This window comes from Homo sapiens, chromosome 1 (genome assembly GCF_000001405.40).
Source record: "Homo sapiens chromosome 1, GRCh38.p14 Primary Assembly".
NCBI classification, from domain to species: domain Eukaryota; kingdom Metazoa; phylum Chordata; class Mammalia; order Primates; family Hominidae; genus Homo; species Homo sapiens.
The window spans coordinates 11,253,819-11,269,609 of NC_000001.11; the positions used below are offsets into that span (position 1 = coordinate 11,253,819).

Sequence of the window (15,791 nt, forward strand, 5' to 3'; positions counted from 1 at the left end):
CCTCTGCCGTGGCTTCTCACCTCTCCCTCCATGCTGCTGATTCGGACCAGCTCGTTAAGGATCAACAAGGCTCCATGGATCCGATCATCCCGATTCATGCCCTTCTCTTTGGCCAAGGTCTCATCAAATCCCTTCTCTGCTTCTTCAAATGTGTGCTATGTAGAGAGACAGGGTGCCTTCATTAGAGACAGAGTACAAACCCAGAAAGAATACAGGCCCATCCCATCTACACTGGGGGTTCTGAGGTGCTACCACGCCTGCTCAGTGCCTAGTGCCAGTCATCAACAAAACTAACTGATCAATCTCTTTTATTTAATTCAGCTTCAATTTTTTTTTTTTGAGATGGAGTCTTGCTCTATTGCCCAGGCTGGAGTGCAGTGGCGCAATCTCGGCTCTCCACAACCTCCACCTCCTGGGTTCAAGTGATTCTCCTGCCTCAGCCCCCTGAGTAGCTGAGATTACAGGCACACACTACCACGCCTGGCTAATTTTTGTATTTTTAGTAGAGACAGGGCTTCACCATGTTAACCAGGCTGGTCTCAAACTCCTGACCTCAAGTGATCCACCCATCTCAGCCTCCCAAAGTGCTGTGATTACAGGTGTAAGCCACCACGCCCAGCCCCAGCTTCAATTCTCATAATAAGCCTTTGAGGAAGATACCATCATCATCCCTATTTAACAGCTAAAAACACAGGCTCAAAGAATTTAAGTGACTTGTCCAAGATCACACAGCAAAGGCAAGACTGGAACCCGCATCTCCCAATCCCATGTTCAGAGCTCTTTTTCTAATATAAGACTCACTGATAAGTTCCCTCTGCAGCAGTAATCAGCACAGGCCTCATTATACTAGAGCAGAGAGAAATGGCACTTTCTAAATTAGTATCATTTGTATCTCACTGATTTTGAGACACCTATTTTTCCGTATTTTAACATCTCTGAAAAGAGATGTCTTTTTTTTTTTTTTGAGACAGAGTCTCACTCTGTTGTCAAGTCTGGAGTGCAGTGGCATGATCATGACTCACTGCAGCCTTGATCTCTTGGGCTCAAGCAATTCTCCCGCCTCAGCCTCCCAAATAGCTGGGACCACAGGCGTGTAACACCAGGCCCAGCTAATTTTTTTATTTTTTGTAGAGACGGGATCCCACATGCTGCCCAGGCTGGTCTCAAACTCCTGAGCTCAAGCAATCCTCCTGCCTTGGCCTCCCAAAATGTTGGGATTACAGGCGTGAGCATCCAGCTGAGATGTCTTATAATTAATTATTAATAAGAAGAAGGTACAAAGTTGGCCGGGCACAGTGGCTCATGCCTGTAATCCCAGCACTTTGGGAGGTCAAGGCAGGTGGATCATGAGGTCAAGAGATCAAGACCATCCTGGCCAATATGGTGAAACCCTGTCTCTACTAAAAACACAAAAATTGGCTGGGCGTGATGGCACATGCCTGTAGTCCCAGCTACTCGGGAGGCTGAGGCAGGAGAATCACTTGAACCCAGGAGGCAGAGGCTACAGTGAGACAAAATCACACCACTAAACTCCAGCTTGGTGACAGAACAAGACTCCATCTCCAAAAAAAAAAAAAAAAAAAAAAAAAAAGAAAGAGGTACCAAGTCACAGTTTAATTGGCATATTTGCATTCTTAGTCATACATAAAATAATGTATAGAATAATGGTATGGCTATCAATAGATGTTTGCTTTAATAAAATGCAATAAAGTAACTATTGATTCATACTGAGCATAAAAAATTCATTGGAGGCCAGGCGCGGTAGCTCATGTCTGTAATCCCAGCACTTTGAGAGGCCAAGGCAGGTGGATCACCTGAGGTCAGGAATTCGAGACCAGCCTGGCCAACATGGCAAAACCCTGTCTCTATTACAAAAATTAGCTGGGCGTGGTGGCACACGCCTGTAGTCCTAGCTATTCGGGAGGCTAAGGTGGGAGAAAATCGCTTGAACCCAAGAGGCGGAGGTTGCAGTGAGCCGAGATTGCGCCACTGCACTCCAGCCTGGGCGACAAAGCAAGACTCCATCACAAAAAAAAAAAAAAAAAAATTCATTTGAGAGCAAACCAAAACGTGATTCTTGCTCCATGGCAAGGGCTTGTGGCTGCCCTTTAGGCCAGGTGATTCTCTACGCAGATGTGCTTTGCTAGTGGTGGGAATGGAGCCATCTCCTTACCCTGTACCACTGAGGCTTCTGCATCTCCTTCGGCTCACGCTGGGTTGTGAGAATCAGACAGGCACGAAGGGCGGCTACAGCTCCCTCACGGATGGCCTGTTTGGGGTCCCACACGGCCACAAAAATGTTGTCAAAGAAGGGTTGCACTTGCTGGAAGAAGAAGGTAGGGACGCTGATGGCCAGCTCACGGAGAACCAGGACCTGGAGAAAAAAGCAAACCGAGAACTCTCATTGGTACCAGAGTTTTGTTCTCTCAGGAGTACAGTCTCTTGTCATCTTAGAGCCATACACACCAGGAACAGAGAAGGCTTGCTCACTCTTCTAGCTAGGAAATTCTGAGGACAGAGGAAGGAAAGCAAAATTGATTAAACATCTCAGTGCTCATTATCCTAGGTTGTTTACAAACACAGAATGCTTGTAATGTTTGAACATAAGTTCTGGAAGTGCAGATGTGTTTTATGTTTTCTTTACCACTATACTAACAGCCTAGAACTCTACCTGGAATACAGTAGGTATGTAGTAAATATTTACTGAATGGATAATCCTGTTTAATGTTTAATCCTGTTGTTATTTTTATTTGACAGAGGAAGAAACTGAAGGTCAGAAGCTGCCCCAGGTTACAGAGTTAGGTAGGAAGTTGCAAAGCCAAGACTTGAGCCAGGGTCCAAGTGTGTGTCCTTTTCCTGGTACCGTGCCCCCTCCTCACAGTACTGCCTCCTCCGAAGGGCAGCAGACTGGAAAGCACGCAGCTGATGCTTCTGATCCCCACCACACCATGCTAGATTCCCTCTTAAGGACGGACTCTACCCCATCTCACAGCCTGGAATCCTAGCTCTTCTAACCAGCTTTTTTAAGGAATGAGCCTCAGAAGGAAGCAAAAGACCCCCCCATGACACCATCGTTCCCCAAGCCTGGCTGTGCTCCTCCCTGTAGACACTCACAGCTGCATGTCTCCGGCCCTCATTGCGGTCAGCACCCAGCCATTCCAGGGCTCGCTTCACCTCAAATTCCACGTACTCAGCGGTAAAAGTGTCCCCTGCCATGGCAAGACGGCCAATGGCCTTGGATGCCATTTCCATGACAACTGGGTCATTGGAGGGGAGGAGGTTCCGAAGATAGTTGGCAAATCTGCCAATTCGGGTGGCATTCCCACCTTCCACTCCTATGAGGCTAGCTGCAAAAGAGAGGAAGGCAAAAGGTGATGATGGGGCGTATGCTGGCCAGGAAAGTACGCAGACTTCAACTAAAAGCTGGTGAGTGCCGGCCAGGCACGGTGGCTCAAGTCTGTAATCCTAGCACTTTGGGAGGCTGAGGCGGGCGGATTGCCTGAGCTCAGGAGTTTGAGACCAGCCTGGGCAACATGGTGAAACCCCGTCTCTACTAAGATACAAAAAAAAAAAAAAAAAAAAGAAAACAAAAAAATTAGCCAGGCGTGGTGGCACACGCCTGTAATCCCAGCTACTTGGGAGGCTGAGGCAGGAGAATTGCTTGGACCTGGGAGGCAGAGGTTGCAGTAAGCCGAGACTGCACCATTGCACTCCAGCCTGGGCGACAGAGTGAGACTCTGTCTCAGAGAAAAAAAAAAAAAAAAAAAAAAAAATCTGGCGAGTGAACCCTCCATTCTACTTTGAGTACATTTCTAGATGGCAAGGACAGATACAATTTTCATTTTAACCCAGATATTTAATACTTGTGCCAGAAATATTTACATAAAGCAAAATAATCTCATGCTAGTATAATTTTCTCCCCTACCCCCCAAAAAGGGAAAACAACTGGGACTGGATAATAATTCACAGGACTGATGACCAGTCCTTAGAAGTTAAAAATGACCTGCCTGGCCAGTTGTGGTGGCTCACACCTGTAATCCCAGCACTCTGGGAGGCTGAGGTGGGCAGATCACTTGAGGTCAGGAGTTCGAGACCAGCCTGGCCAACATGGTGAAACCCTGTCTCTACTGAAAATACAAACATTAGCTGGGCATGGTGGCAGGTGCCTGTAATCCCAGCTACTCGGGAGGCTGAGGCACGAGAATCGCTTGAACCCAGGAGGCGGAGGTTGCAGCAAGCCAAGATTGCACCACTGAACTCCAGCCCCGGCAAGAGTGAGACTCCATCTCAAAAAAAAAAAAAAGACCTGCCTTTTATTAACTATACCGATTCCACTTTTCCATTCGTGAGCCCCACTATGCGAAACCCTGCTCTACTGAGGAAGCAGAGCCCACAAAAGGCAATATGAAGGAGTGGAAAGAAAGCTGGCTTCTAGTCTCAGCTCTGGTAAACTGTCTGAAAAGTCACTCGATGGTTCCGAGACTCCACTTCCACATCTAAAAATACGTTTTTCCTGTGGCCCAGGGCTGCTGCTAGAATTAAAAGCCACGGGCTTCTTAAATTTCATTAAGCAAATATGAACTAGTATCCAGTAAGTGGCAGACACAGGGTGCAGTGGGCACAAAGGTGAGTGTGTTGTTTTTGTGACCAGAGACTCTGTCCTTACCTATGGCCAAGATGCCACCTTTCCTCTCATTGGCATCTGAGCTGGAAACCAATTCAAAAATGTGATGGTTCAGTTGGTCATAGAAGCGAGTAGACTCCTCTTGACTCATCTGCAAAAGAAGATATAATCAGAACAATTTCTAATAATTCTCTAACTGTGGTGGTGGGAGTGGGCTGGCATCTAAAGATTAGATCCTGAGAGGCAGGAGGTATAGTTCAAACCAAAGAAGACAAGTTACTGCCCATTTCTATAGGATTACACTGTAGAGTACCTGAACTTGCAATCATCTGATTATTTAACAAATATTTATTAGGTATCTACTCTGTGGCAGAAAATGTCCTGTCCTAGGTTCTTTCTAGTACCAGGGATAAAAGGAGAAACAAGATACTGTCTCTGACCTCAAGTCTGGTCTCTATTTAGAAAGCCCCTAGCTCTCAACTCTCCAAACCCATCCCAATCACTGTTATCAGACAGAAAGCATTTGAGGGTGTGGTATGTGGTAAGGAAAAAATAAAAAGTTAAAAGAAACAGCTAAGTCTATTCTGGCCCCTAAAATGTGACCACAAACAAGAAAAATGCTACAAAAATGTGCAACTGCTGCAAAAGAACCTGCATGTTTTATGGATGTGACAGGTTGGGTGCCTTTATAAAATAATCTCTGTTTTCCAAATCCTCACTTAGCTGTACAAAAAAAAATGTAAACCAGTGATGGTACATTTAGCCCACACATCCCACAATGACTGGCCCCAGATCCCAGAAGCACCTCTCGGAGTTCCATGGTGACATAGTGCTGGAGCTCCTTGGCGGCTTTGGCCCTGGTTTCCTCATTCCGGCTCTTTAGGCCACTGGCAAACTGCTGCAGGACGCTCACATTGCTAGATGTGGTGGCAGCGGTGGTGGCGGCGGCAGGTCCGGTTCCAAGCATCTTGCCCTGAGGTTCTTTAGAGAGAAGTTTCCTTTAATATTCTGGATAAGAAAGTATGATGATAAATTTACTTATGGCCCTGGTCACCCAACACAGATCTCCCCCTAGCCCTTGTCAGGCAGGGGATTCTAAAAAGGTTGAGAGATCTGATTGAGGAACATTTAGAAAGCCTAGATTCATTAAACAATGACTGATGTTTAAAAGAGGCAGTGTAGTAGGGAGGTTAAATTGTGGGCTATCGGCCTAGCCTACTTGGGTTTGAATCCTTGGGTTATATACCTTGAGCAGTTTGGGAGGCTGAGCCTGGAGGACCACCTGAGGTCAGGAATTTGAGACCAGCCTGCCCAACATGGTGAAAACCCATCTCTATGAAAAATACAAAAATTAGCTGGGCGTGGTGGCATGTGTCACCCAGGAGGCTGAGGCAGGAGAATCCCTTGAACCTGGGAGGTAGAGGCTGCAGTGAGCCGAGATCCTGCCACTGCACTGTCTCAAAACAAAAACAAACGAAAACAAAAACAAGGTTATATACCTCAAGAAAGACACTCAAAATGTGTTTCTTCAACTACAATAGGAAGATAATAGTACCTAGTTCATGGGTTGATGTGAGAACTAAATGACTTAATACGTGTCAAAAAGTGTTTAAAACAGTGCAGGGCATATACTAAGTTCTTAATAATTGTTAGCTATTATTATTACTACTACTACTACTATGTACATGGCAAAATGCCAGGTAACAAATGTCAGGAGGTAGGGAAAGAATTAAAAATGACTAAGACTGCCCCTTTCCTCAAGTTCAGTCTAAAAAGAGAGATTATTATTCTACAGCAGCACTATCTAATGGAAATTTAGGCCGGGCACAGTGGCTCACGCCTGTAATCCCGGCACTTTGGGAGCCCAAGGTGGGCAGATCACCTGAGGTCAGGAGTTTGAGACCAGCCTGGGCAATATGGTGAAACCCCGTCTCTACTAAAAATACAAAATTAGCCAGGCGTGGCAGTGCGTGCCTGTAACCCCAGCTACTTGGGAGGTTGAGGCAGGAGAATCACTTGAACCCAGGAGGCAGAGGTTGCAGTGAGCTGAGATTGGGCCATTGCACTACAGCCTGGGCAACAAGAGCAAAACTCCATCTCAATTAAAAAAAAAAAAAAGAGGAAATACAATGATCCACAAATGTAATTTTAAGGCTGCTTGTAGCCATATTTTAAAAGGTAAAAAGAAACAGGTGAAATTAATTACCTAAACCAATATATCCAAAATATCATTTCAACATGTTATCAATATTTAAAAAATTGATATAGTGTCCATTCTTTTTTTTTAGCGAGTCTTCAAAATCTAATGTGCATTTTACACTTACAACAATGTCAATTTGGACTAGTCATTTTTTTTTTTTTTTTTGAGACAGAGTCTCGCTCTGTCACCCAGGCTGGAGTGCAGTGGCATGATCTCGGCTCACTGCAACATCCACCTCCCGGGTTCAAATGATTCTCCTGCCTCAGCTTCCCGAGTAGCTGGGACTACAGATGTGCAGCACCACGCCTGGCTAATTTTTGTGTGTTTTTAGTAGAGATGGGGTTTTATTATGTTGGCCAGGCTGGTCTCAAATTCCTGACCTCAGGTGATCTGCCCGCCTTGGCCTCCCAAAGTGCTGGGATTACAGGTGTGAGCCACCATGCCCGGCCTGGACTAGTCACATTTCAAGTGCTCCACAGCCACATGTGGCTGGTGGTTCTTGTACTGAACAACGCAGTTCTACAGGGGACTAGCTCTTCAAATGTAAGCTAAAAGAAAGTAATTAGTTCCTGGCCGGGTTTGGGAGGCCGAGGCGGGCGGATCACGAGGTCAGGAAATCGAGACCATCCTGGCCAACACGGTGAAATCCCGCCTCTACTAAAAATACAAAAAAAAAAAAAAATTAGCCGTATGGTGGCGGGCGCCTGTAGTCCCAGCTACTCGGGAGGCTGAGGCAGGAGAATGGCGGGAACCCGGGAGGCGGAGCTTGCAGTGAGCAGAGATCGAGCCACTGCACTCCAGCCTGGGCGACAGAGCGAAACTCCGTCTCAAAACAAAACAAAAAACACCAATTAGTTCCTGAGCTCATTCCCTCATTCCTCAATTATGCCCACACTGCCATGGGTGTAACATACACCTATCCCAAGTATGTTCAGCTTATGCTACAAAACCAATTTCTCAAAATTCTTATTTTTGAAAGAATTTGTAAGGCACAGAGGAAAAACCTGGGAATAATTGGTTTTGTAAAGCTTTCAAATACTCCACTGCCAAGAAGAAGACTGCAGAAAGAAATGTCATCCTTTAGGGGAGAAGAAACTTAAGAATCCCTGCTAAGAAAACTACTCCAGTTTGTGTGTATGTGTGTGCGTCCGAAAGGGGGGAAGGTGGCTGGCAAGGGATTTCTATTCTCAGGAAAGAACCAGTGTATCTTTATATGATCTGAGGCCCACAGGCCATCTGCTCCAGACTGAATTCAATTAAACTTAGGATATCTGAAGTCAAATATCCTAATGGTGTTGATAGGGCTTAAGGAAGTTAAGATTGGATGGGGGAAACAGGGATGGGGCTGGGGGAGAGGGAGAGAAGATGTACCCCAACGATGTAACCAAGCTCAGTTTCGGGGACTGGATCTCTGAGAGGTGTCCACAGTGGAGGACAAGGGGCTGACACGGACGCTAGTGTTCCCTGGGGCAGAGATACACAATTTTTATACGTGGCTCAAAAGAAAGGGTGGCTGTGACAGGCAAAAGACCCAAAGGGCAATACCAGAGCTGATGGGCCGGCCTTCGGGCGGACGTACCGCGGGCCGAAGGGTCCAGGGGTCTCTTGGGGGTCCCGGGGAGGTGGGCGTTGCCTCGAGGGGTGGGAGTCAAGGCCTCAGACGGTGCCCAGGTCGTGGGGCCGGCAATGTGGGGACCCCACGTCCCAGACGGGCGGCTTCCCCTGGCCCCCCCACGGGCAGGCTGGCCGTGGGTCTGGACATTACGCCGCCCTAGAGGGGTCGTGCCAGGCCCTAGACTCACCGCGCGGCTTCGGCCAAGGCCTCAGCTGCCGCCGCCAGCACCGGTACCGCCGCTTCAGGCCCCCTGCCCCACCGCCCGCCTTCCCCGCTGTCCTCTAAGCCGGGAGCGAGGGAAGGAGGGTTCCCAGCCCTGAGGACCAATCGACAGGTATAGGGAGAAGATGGACTGAAAAACAGGCCAATAGTAATGAAGAAGAGAAGCTTCAGGACCCGGCTTCTCCAGGGGGCGGGGACTGTTCAAATAGACAAACCACGCGGCCAGTGGCAGGTGAAAACAGGCTTGGGTCCACTCGGGAGAACCAATCGGTCGTGAGTTCACCTCAGTCACTTCCACTCACACATCCGGTACGGCGCTGCTAGGATTCCCTTCTGCATCCGGGCTGTGAACTCAAGGAGTCCGGTGTCTGGGTATCTCCGGATCGCAGCGAGAGCGGCTAGCAGAGGTTCGCGACCCCTCCCGGTGTAATTCTGAGAGGAGAATGTGAGCGATGCCGGTGCCCAGGAATTACTGCATCAAAAGACGTTTCGGGCTAGCGCTCTTTATGGATCCTGTGATATCTCTTTTGTTACAATTAATAAGCATTTGAAAATGTTTTTAATTAGATTCTCTAACTTTCCCAAAATTATCCAACTCAGGATCACTCCAGAGAAACCATAGCCAAGTTTTAACCAAAAGAGCTAGTCATAAATAAAAATTTTCAAAGCAACATTATTTTTTAAAAATCCTTTCAAAAAATCAATAGCTGGCCCGGCGCGGTGGCTCACGCCCATAATTCCAGCACTTTGGGAGACCGAGGCAGGCGGATCACCGTAGGTCAGGAGTCGAGACCAGCCTGGTCAACATGGTGAAATTCCCCCACCCGCACCCCCCGTCTCTACTGAAAATACAAAAATTAGCTGGGCATGGTGGCTCACGCCTGTAATCCCAGATACTCGGGAGGCTGAGGCACGAGTATCGCCTGAACCCGGGAGGTGAAGGTTGCATGCACCGAGATCGTGCCACTGCACTCTAGCCTGGGCAACAGAGCAAGCTCCGTCTCAATACATACATACACACACACACACACACACACACACACACACACACACACAACCAAAGAAAATAAATAACTGCTGGTCACGGTGGCCCACGCACTTTGGGAGGCCAAAGCAGGAGGATCGCTTGAGGCCAGGAGTTCCAGACCAGCCTGGGCAACATAGCGAGACGATGTCTCTACAGATTAAAAAAAAAAAAATCAACAGCAAAAGTGGATTTGACTACATTTTTTTTTAATCACAGTGCTATTTGTCATAGTAAACACTGAAAATTCCTAAATATTTCAAAGTAGGAGTCCAATAAAATATGATGCATTCGTTTGGGCGCGGTGGCTCACACCTGTAATCCCAGCACTTTGGGAGGCCGAGGCGGGCGGATCATGAGGTCAGGAGTTTGAGACCAGCTTGACCAACATAGTGAAACCCCGTCTTTACTAAAAATACAAAAAAAAAAAAAAAAAGGTAGGCGTGGTGGCAGGTGCCTGTAATGCCAGCTACTCAGGAGGCTGAGATAGGAAAATCCCTTGAAGCCAGCAGGCGGAGGTTGCAGTGAGCCGAGATCGCGCCACTGCGCTCCAGCTGGGGTGACAGTGCGAGACTCCATCTCAAAAAAAAAAAAAAAAAAAAAAAAAGATGCATTCATAATAAGAAAAATACATAGCCATTAATAATTATAATTTAGAGCCTAGCATGGTGGCTCATCCCTGGAATCCCAGCACTTTGGGAGGCCGAGGCAGGATTGCTTGAGGCCAGGAGTTCCAGACCAGCCTGAGCAACATAGTGAGACCCTTGTCTCTACAAAAGAAATTTAAAAATTAGCTGTGTGTGGTAGCACATGCCTGTAGTCCCAGCTACTTGGAAGGCTGAGGCACGAGAATCACTTGAGTCTATGACTTCAAGGTTGCAGTCATCTGTGATCTCCACTGCACTGCAGCCTGGGCAGCAGAGAAAGATCCTGTCTCAAATAATAATAATAACAATAAATAGTGGTAATTAGATGAATATTTGCTAAGAAGGAAAAGGTTCACAACTAGTTTAAAAATTACAAGTTGTGCAACAATGTAAGTATAATACAACCATTTACAAAAATATTTATGCATTTCTTATATGTCTCTGTTTACATGGGGGAAATGTGCACAACTAAGATGTAATTTGGGAAAGACACACTTTTTTTCTTTATACATTATCAATTACTTATGTAATAAAAACAAGTGAAGGTAGAAGAAATGAGTTTTCAGAAGGTCTAAACTGCCAAATTAAAGATAGTTGGGCTGGGTGCGGTGGCTCACACCTGTAATCCCAGCACTTTGGGAGGCCAAAGCAGGAAGATTGCATGAGCCCAGGCATTTGAGACCAGCCTGGGCAACATAGTGAGACTCCATCTCAAATAAATAAATAAATAAACAAATAAAGATGTCAATATTCCGTGGCTAACAAAATGCTTTGTTTGGCAGGGTTTTTGTTGTTGTTGTTGTTATTGTTAATATCTATGATATTGGCCAGGCACAGTGACCCAACACTTTGGGAGGCTGAGGCAGGTGGATTGTTTGAGCCCACCTGGGCAACATGGTGAAACCTCATCTCTACAAAAAATGCAAAAAATTAGTTGGTGTGGTGGCATGCACCTGTGGTCCCAGCTACTTAAGAGGTTGAGGTGGGAGGATCACTTGAGCCCAGGAGGTCAAGGCTGCAGTGAGCTGTGATCTCACCACTGCACCACTGCATTCCATCCTGAGTTGACAGAGTGAGACACTGTCTCAAAAAAAAAAAATTATATATATATATATATAAATATATATATATATATAATTGCTCCTTTTTTTTGAGACAGAATCTTACTCTGTCACCCAGGCTGGAGTGCAGGGGAGCCATCTCACCTCACTGCAACCTCTGCCTCCCAGGTTTAAGCGATTCTCTTGCCTCAGCCTCTCGAGTAATAATGGCTACTTTAGATTTAGCCTCTTTTCATTGCTCCTGTGAGATAAGTATTCCTCTAAATTTTACATTTTCACTGATGTTCAATTTTTTTTTTTTTTTTTTTTTTTAGATGGAGTCTCGTTCTGGTACCCAGGCAGGAGTGCAGTGGCGCAATCTCGGCTCACTACAACCACCGCCTCCTGGGTTCAAGTGATTCTCGTGCCTCAGCCTCCTGAGTAGCTGGGATTACAGGCACCTGCCACCACACCCAGCTAATTTTTGTATTTTTAGTAGAGACAGGGTTTCGCCATGTTGGCCAGGCTGGTCTTGAACTCCTGACCTCAGGTGATCCGCCTGCTTCAGCCTCCCAAAGTGCTGGGATTACAGGCGTGAGCCATTGTGCCTGGCCCAACATCTATATTTTTATCATTAAAAGCTTCTAATATGCAATATAGTCGCTATTCAAATCTCAAAATAAACAAGTTACATTTATCATGAAAAGTCTTGCTCCACCCTTGCCCCTTGACTATGTATTTTCTCAGTTTCTTATGCATCCCTAGATTTTCTGTCTGCAAAAACAAGCAAATATATACGTATGTATATTCCTTTTTTTTTTTTTTTTTTTTTTTGAGACAGAGTCTCACTCTGTCGCCCAGGCTGGAGTGCAGTGGCATGATCTTGGCTCACTGCAACCTCTGCCTCCCAGGTTAAAGTGATTCTCCTGCCTCAGCTTCCCCAATAGCTGGGATTACATGTCTGTGCCATCATGCGTGGCTAATTTTTTTATTTTTAGTAGAGACAAGGTTTCACCACATTGGCCAAGCTGGTCTCAAACTCCTGACCTCAGTTGATCCGCTTGCCTCAGCCTCCCAAAATGCTAGGATTACAGGCACGAGCCACCATGCCCAGCCCATACATATATTTTTATTTTCCCCTTTTGTTATACTATACGCACTATTTTGCATTTTTAAAATTTTACTGCATCTTGTAGATCTTTCTCTTGTAGTTCCAACAGGATTCTATGCCTGCTGCACAGCAACAGTTGACCAATGCAATGAGACAGCAGAGTCTGCAGCAGAGAAAGAGTTTAGTGATCGCAGGGCAGCCAACTGAGGAGATGGGAGTGTTACCAGCGCTGAATTTACATGGTCTGCAGCAAGCTCAGTTCTTGCCTCCTCAGAAGAAAGAATTCAACTGAGGGGCATAAGGCAGAGTGAGAGACTGAGGCAAGTTTTAGAACAGGAGCGAAGTTTATTAAAGAGCTTTAGAGCAGGAATGAAAGGAAGTAAAGGACACTTGGAAGAGAACCAAGCAGTTGACCTGAGAGATCAAGTGCGCTGTTTGACCTTGACTCGGGGTTGGCATACTTCCAGGGTCTTGCATCCCTTCTCCCCTGATTCTTCCCTTGGGGTGGGCTGTCCACATGCATGGTGGCCTGTCAGCACTTGGGTAGGGGCGCATGTGCAGTGTGTTTACTGGAGTTGTGGGCATGCTCACTCAAGATGTGTTTCCCTTACCAGTCCAGTGTTCCTAGAGGAAGATCATCGGCGATTTTGCCTGTTAGTGATCATCTGCGATTTTGCCTCTTAGTGCCCATGCTTGAGCCTACTCGCCCAGCTCCTGAGATCTTATGGGAAGCTGCTGATCACCAGTTTCAGGTGTTTCTATCTTTTGGGAGACTGCCTTTCTCTGGCACCAGCTGCAATCAATTATTATTTTAGCGAGATAGCTTAACAACTGCCTGACCATCACCCAATGGTTGCTTGACATTCCTGGGGTTAGGGGGTGGGGGCCTCTCCTGCTCTGCTCATGCCTGACTAGCTATCTACTGTAACAGGAGGAGACCTTCAAATCCATCTCCCCAAGGAATTCTGAGCTGGGTTTGTTTGTTTGTTTGTTTGTTTTGTTTTTTCTTGAGACAGAGTCTCGCTCTGTTGCCCAGGCTGGAGTGCAGTGGCAGGATCTCAGCTCACTGCCACCTCTGCCTCCCAGGTTCAAGCAATTCTTGTGCCTCAGCCTTTTGAGTAGCTGGGATTATAGGTGTGTGCCACCATACCCGGCTAATTTTTGTATTTCTAGTAGAGACACGGTTTCACCGTGTTGGTCAGGCTGGTCTCAAACTCCTGACCTCTTGATCTGCCCACCTCGGCCTCCCAAAGTGCTGGGATTACAGGAGTGAGCCACCGTGCCCGGCCTGAGCTGGGGTTTTTAAGGGGATTGTAGAGGGGGAGAGGCTGGAAATTTGGTATCGTTTATGGGTTGGGGTAAAGGGGGTGAAATCATCAGGATGTAGAAACTGCATTCTTTGGTGAGTTAGCTCCCTGTGGGGTCTTTCACAATGGCTGTCATCAGTAGTTTCACTGATATGCAGGACCTGAAAGAATACCTCAGGTGGAAAACAATGTTTTGCAAGCTTAAGTTGTCTGATGACAGGGTCCGCATGATTCTGGGACAGTAGGCAGCAAACAACTATGAGGAAATGGCTCAGAGTTCAACATGACCTCATGATGAATGCTGAATGTGCTGCAAGCTTTGTTTATTTTCATTTCTCTCCCTCCCTTCCTCCCTGATTTATTTTATTTTATTTTGAGATGGAGTCTCACTCGGAGTGCAGTGGTGTGATCTCAGTTCACCGCAACCTCCACCTCCCGGGTTCAAACGATTCTCCTGCCTCAGCCTCCCGAGTGGCTGGGATTACAGGTGTGCGCCACCATGCCAGCTAATTTTTGTACTTTTTTTTTTTTTTTGAGACCAAGTCTCGCTCTGTAGCCCAGGCTAGAGTGCAGTGGCGTGATCTCAGCTCACTGCAACCTCTGCCTCCCAGGTTCAAGCAATTCTCCTGCCTCAGCCTCCAGAGTAGCTGGGATTACAGGTGTGCACCTCGGCAGAGTAGCTGGGATTATAGGCGCACCCCACTGTACCCGGCTAATTTTTTGTATTTTTAGTAAAGACAAAGTTTCACCATGTTGGCCAGGCTGGTCTTGAACTCCTGACCTCAGGTAATCTGCCTGCCTCAGCCTCGCAAAGTGCTAGGATTACAGGTGTGAGCCACTGTGTCCAGCCTAATTTTTGTATTTTTAGTAGAGACGGGGTTTCACAATGTTGGCCAGGCTGGTCTCGAACTCCTGACCTCAAGTGATCAGCCTGCCTTGGCCTCCCAAAGTGCTGGGATTACAGGTGTGAGCCACCGCACCTGGCCCCTGATTAATTTTATAAAGTTTGTTGGGACGGTTTCATTTCCATCTTGGTACACACAGAGTTTCTTGTCCTTTTGTTGTTGCTACAGCTGCATAGTGTTCTATCACATGGCTGTGCCATAGTTCATTTTCCAGTCCTCTGTGAATGGACATTTGTGTTATGTCCAAATTTGTGCTATTACAAATGCTGCAGTGAATGCCTTTGTACGTATATCATTTTCTTCCCTGACAGCTATATCAAGATAAATTCCCAGAAATGGGATTACAGGGTTAGACAGTTTTGTTGAATCTTGTCAAGTTGATCTCTATAAGGGAGGTACCAATTTTTATTCCCATCAGCCATATAGGAGATTTTTGCCACCCTGAGATATGATACAGCCCTGTTTTCTAATTAATAATCAAAGATGATTTTATAGCAACAGTAATAAGTGCGTTTGTCGGTTTCTTTTCTGTTTACAAAGAACTTTCTTTTTTATTGTATTTTTGCAAGTCTTTTTATTTTATTATTATACTTCAAGTTCTAGGGTACATGTGCACAACGTGCAGATTTGTTACATAGGTATACATGTGCCGTGTTGGTTTGCTGCACCCATCAACTTGTCATTTACATTAGGTATTTCTCCTAACGCTATCCCTCCCCCAGCCCCCCAACCCCCAACAGGCCCCGGTGTGTGATGTTCCCCTCCCCGTGTCCATGTGTTCTCATTGTTCAACTCCCACTACAAAGAACTTTCTTATGCATTACACTAAAATAATAGCTAATATTTATTGAGCACTTACAGTGTATCAGGGATTTTGGTGGACATTATAGAGTACTTGTTAAAAGCAGCTTGGAGTCAAGTCAAACTAACTGAATCTGAAATTTGGCTGCAACACTTTGTACCTATTTCCTTATGTGTAAAACTGGAAGGATTATAGTCTCTTCGTTGGTAGGCAGTATTGTGGGGGTTAAACGCTAATACCACACGTAAAGTACCTAAAAGAGGTACTTGGCCCAGCATGGTGGCTCACACCTGT

General features: G+C 46.3%; 1 protein-coding gene across 7 annotated transcripts in view, besides 2 other annotated features; it reads right to left on the reverse strand.

Moving 5' to 3' along the window:
- MTOR (mechanistic target of rapamycin kinase) overlaps window positions 1–8,733 on the reverse strand; it is a 156,017-nt gene extending 147,284 nt beyond the window's left edge. For 5 of the 7 annotated variants that reach the window (XR_007058581.1, NM_001386501.1, NM_004958.4 and 2 more), the window contains exons 1-6: window positions 8,627–8,733; window positions 5,430–5,605; window positions 4,667–4,775; window positions 3,115–3,347; window positions 2,174–2,374; window positions 21–155 (exon numbers count right to left, since the gene is read on the reverse strand). Coding sequence is in view for 5 of the 7 variants with exons in the window: in NM_004958.4 (NP_004949.1) it covers window positions 21–155; window positions 2,174–2,374; window positions 3,115–3,347; window positions 4,667–4,775; window positions 5,430–5,591 (840 nt within the window). In the remaining 2 variants the exon portion in view is untranslated. Of the gene's footprint in view, window positions 1–20; window positions 156–2,173; window positions 2,375–3,114; window positions 3,348–4,666; window positions 4,776–5,429; window positions 5,633–8,626 lie in introns of those variants that run through there. The other 2 variants (NM_001386500.1, XM_017000900.1) reach the window with 2 other exon arrangements.
- Window positions 8,451–8,500: a silencer, noted in NCBI's record as "silent region_261". NCBI's record gives its function as "represses an Ori minimal core promoter by ATAC-STARR-seq in GM12878 lymphoblastoid cells {active_cell/tissue: GM12878}" and the evidence as "EXISTENCE:reporter gene assay evidence [ECO:0000049][PMID:35858748]".
- Window positions 8,921–9,080: an enhancer, noted in NCBI's record as "active region_165". NCBI's record gives its function as "activates an Ori minimal core promoter by ATAC-STARR-seq in GM12878 lymphoblastoid cells {active_cell/tissue: GM12878}" and the evidence as "EXISTENCE:reporter gene assay evidence [ECO:0000049][PMID:35858748]".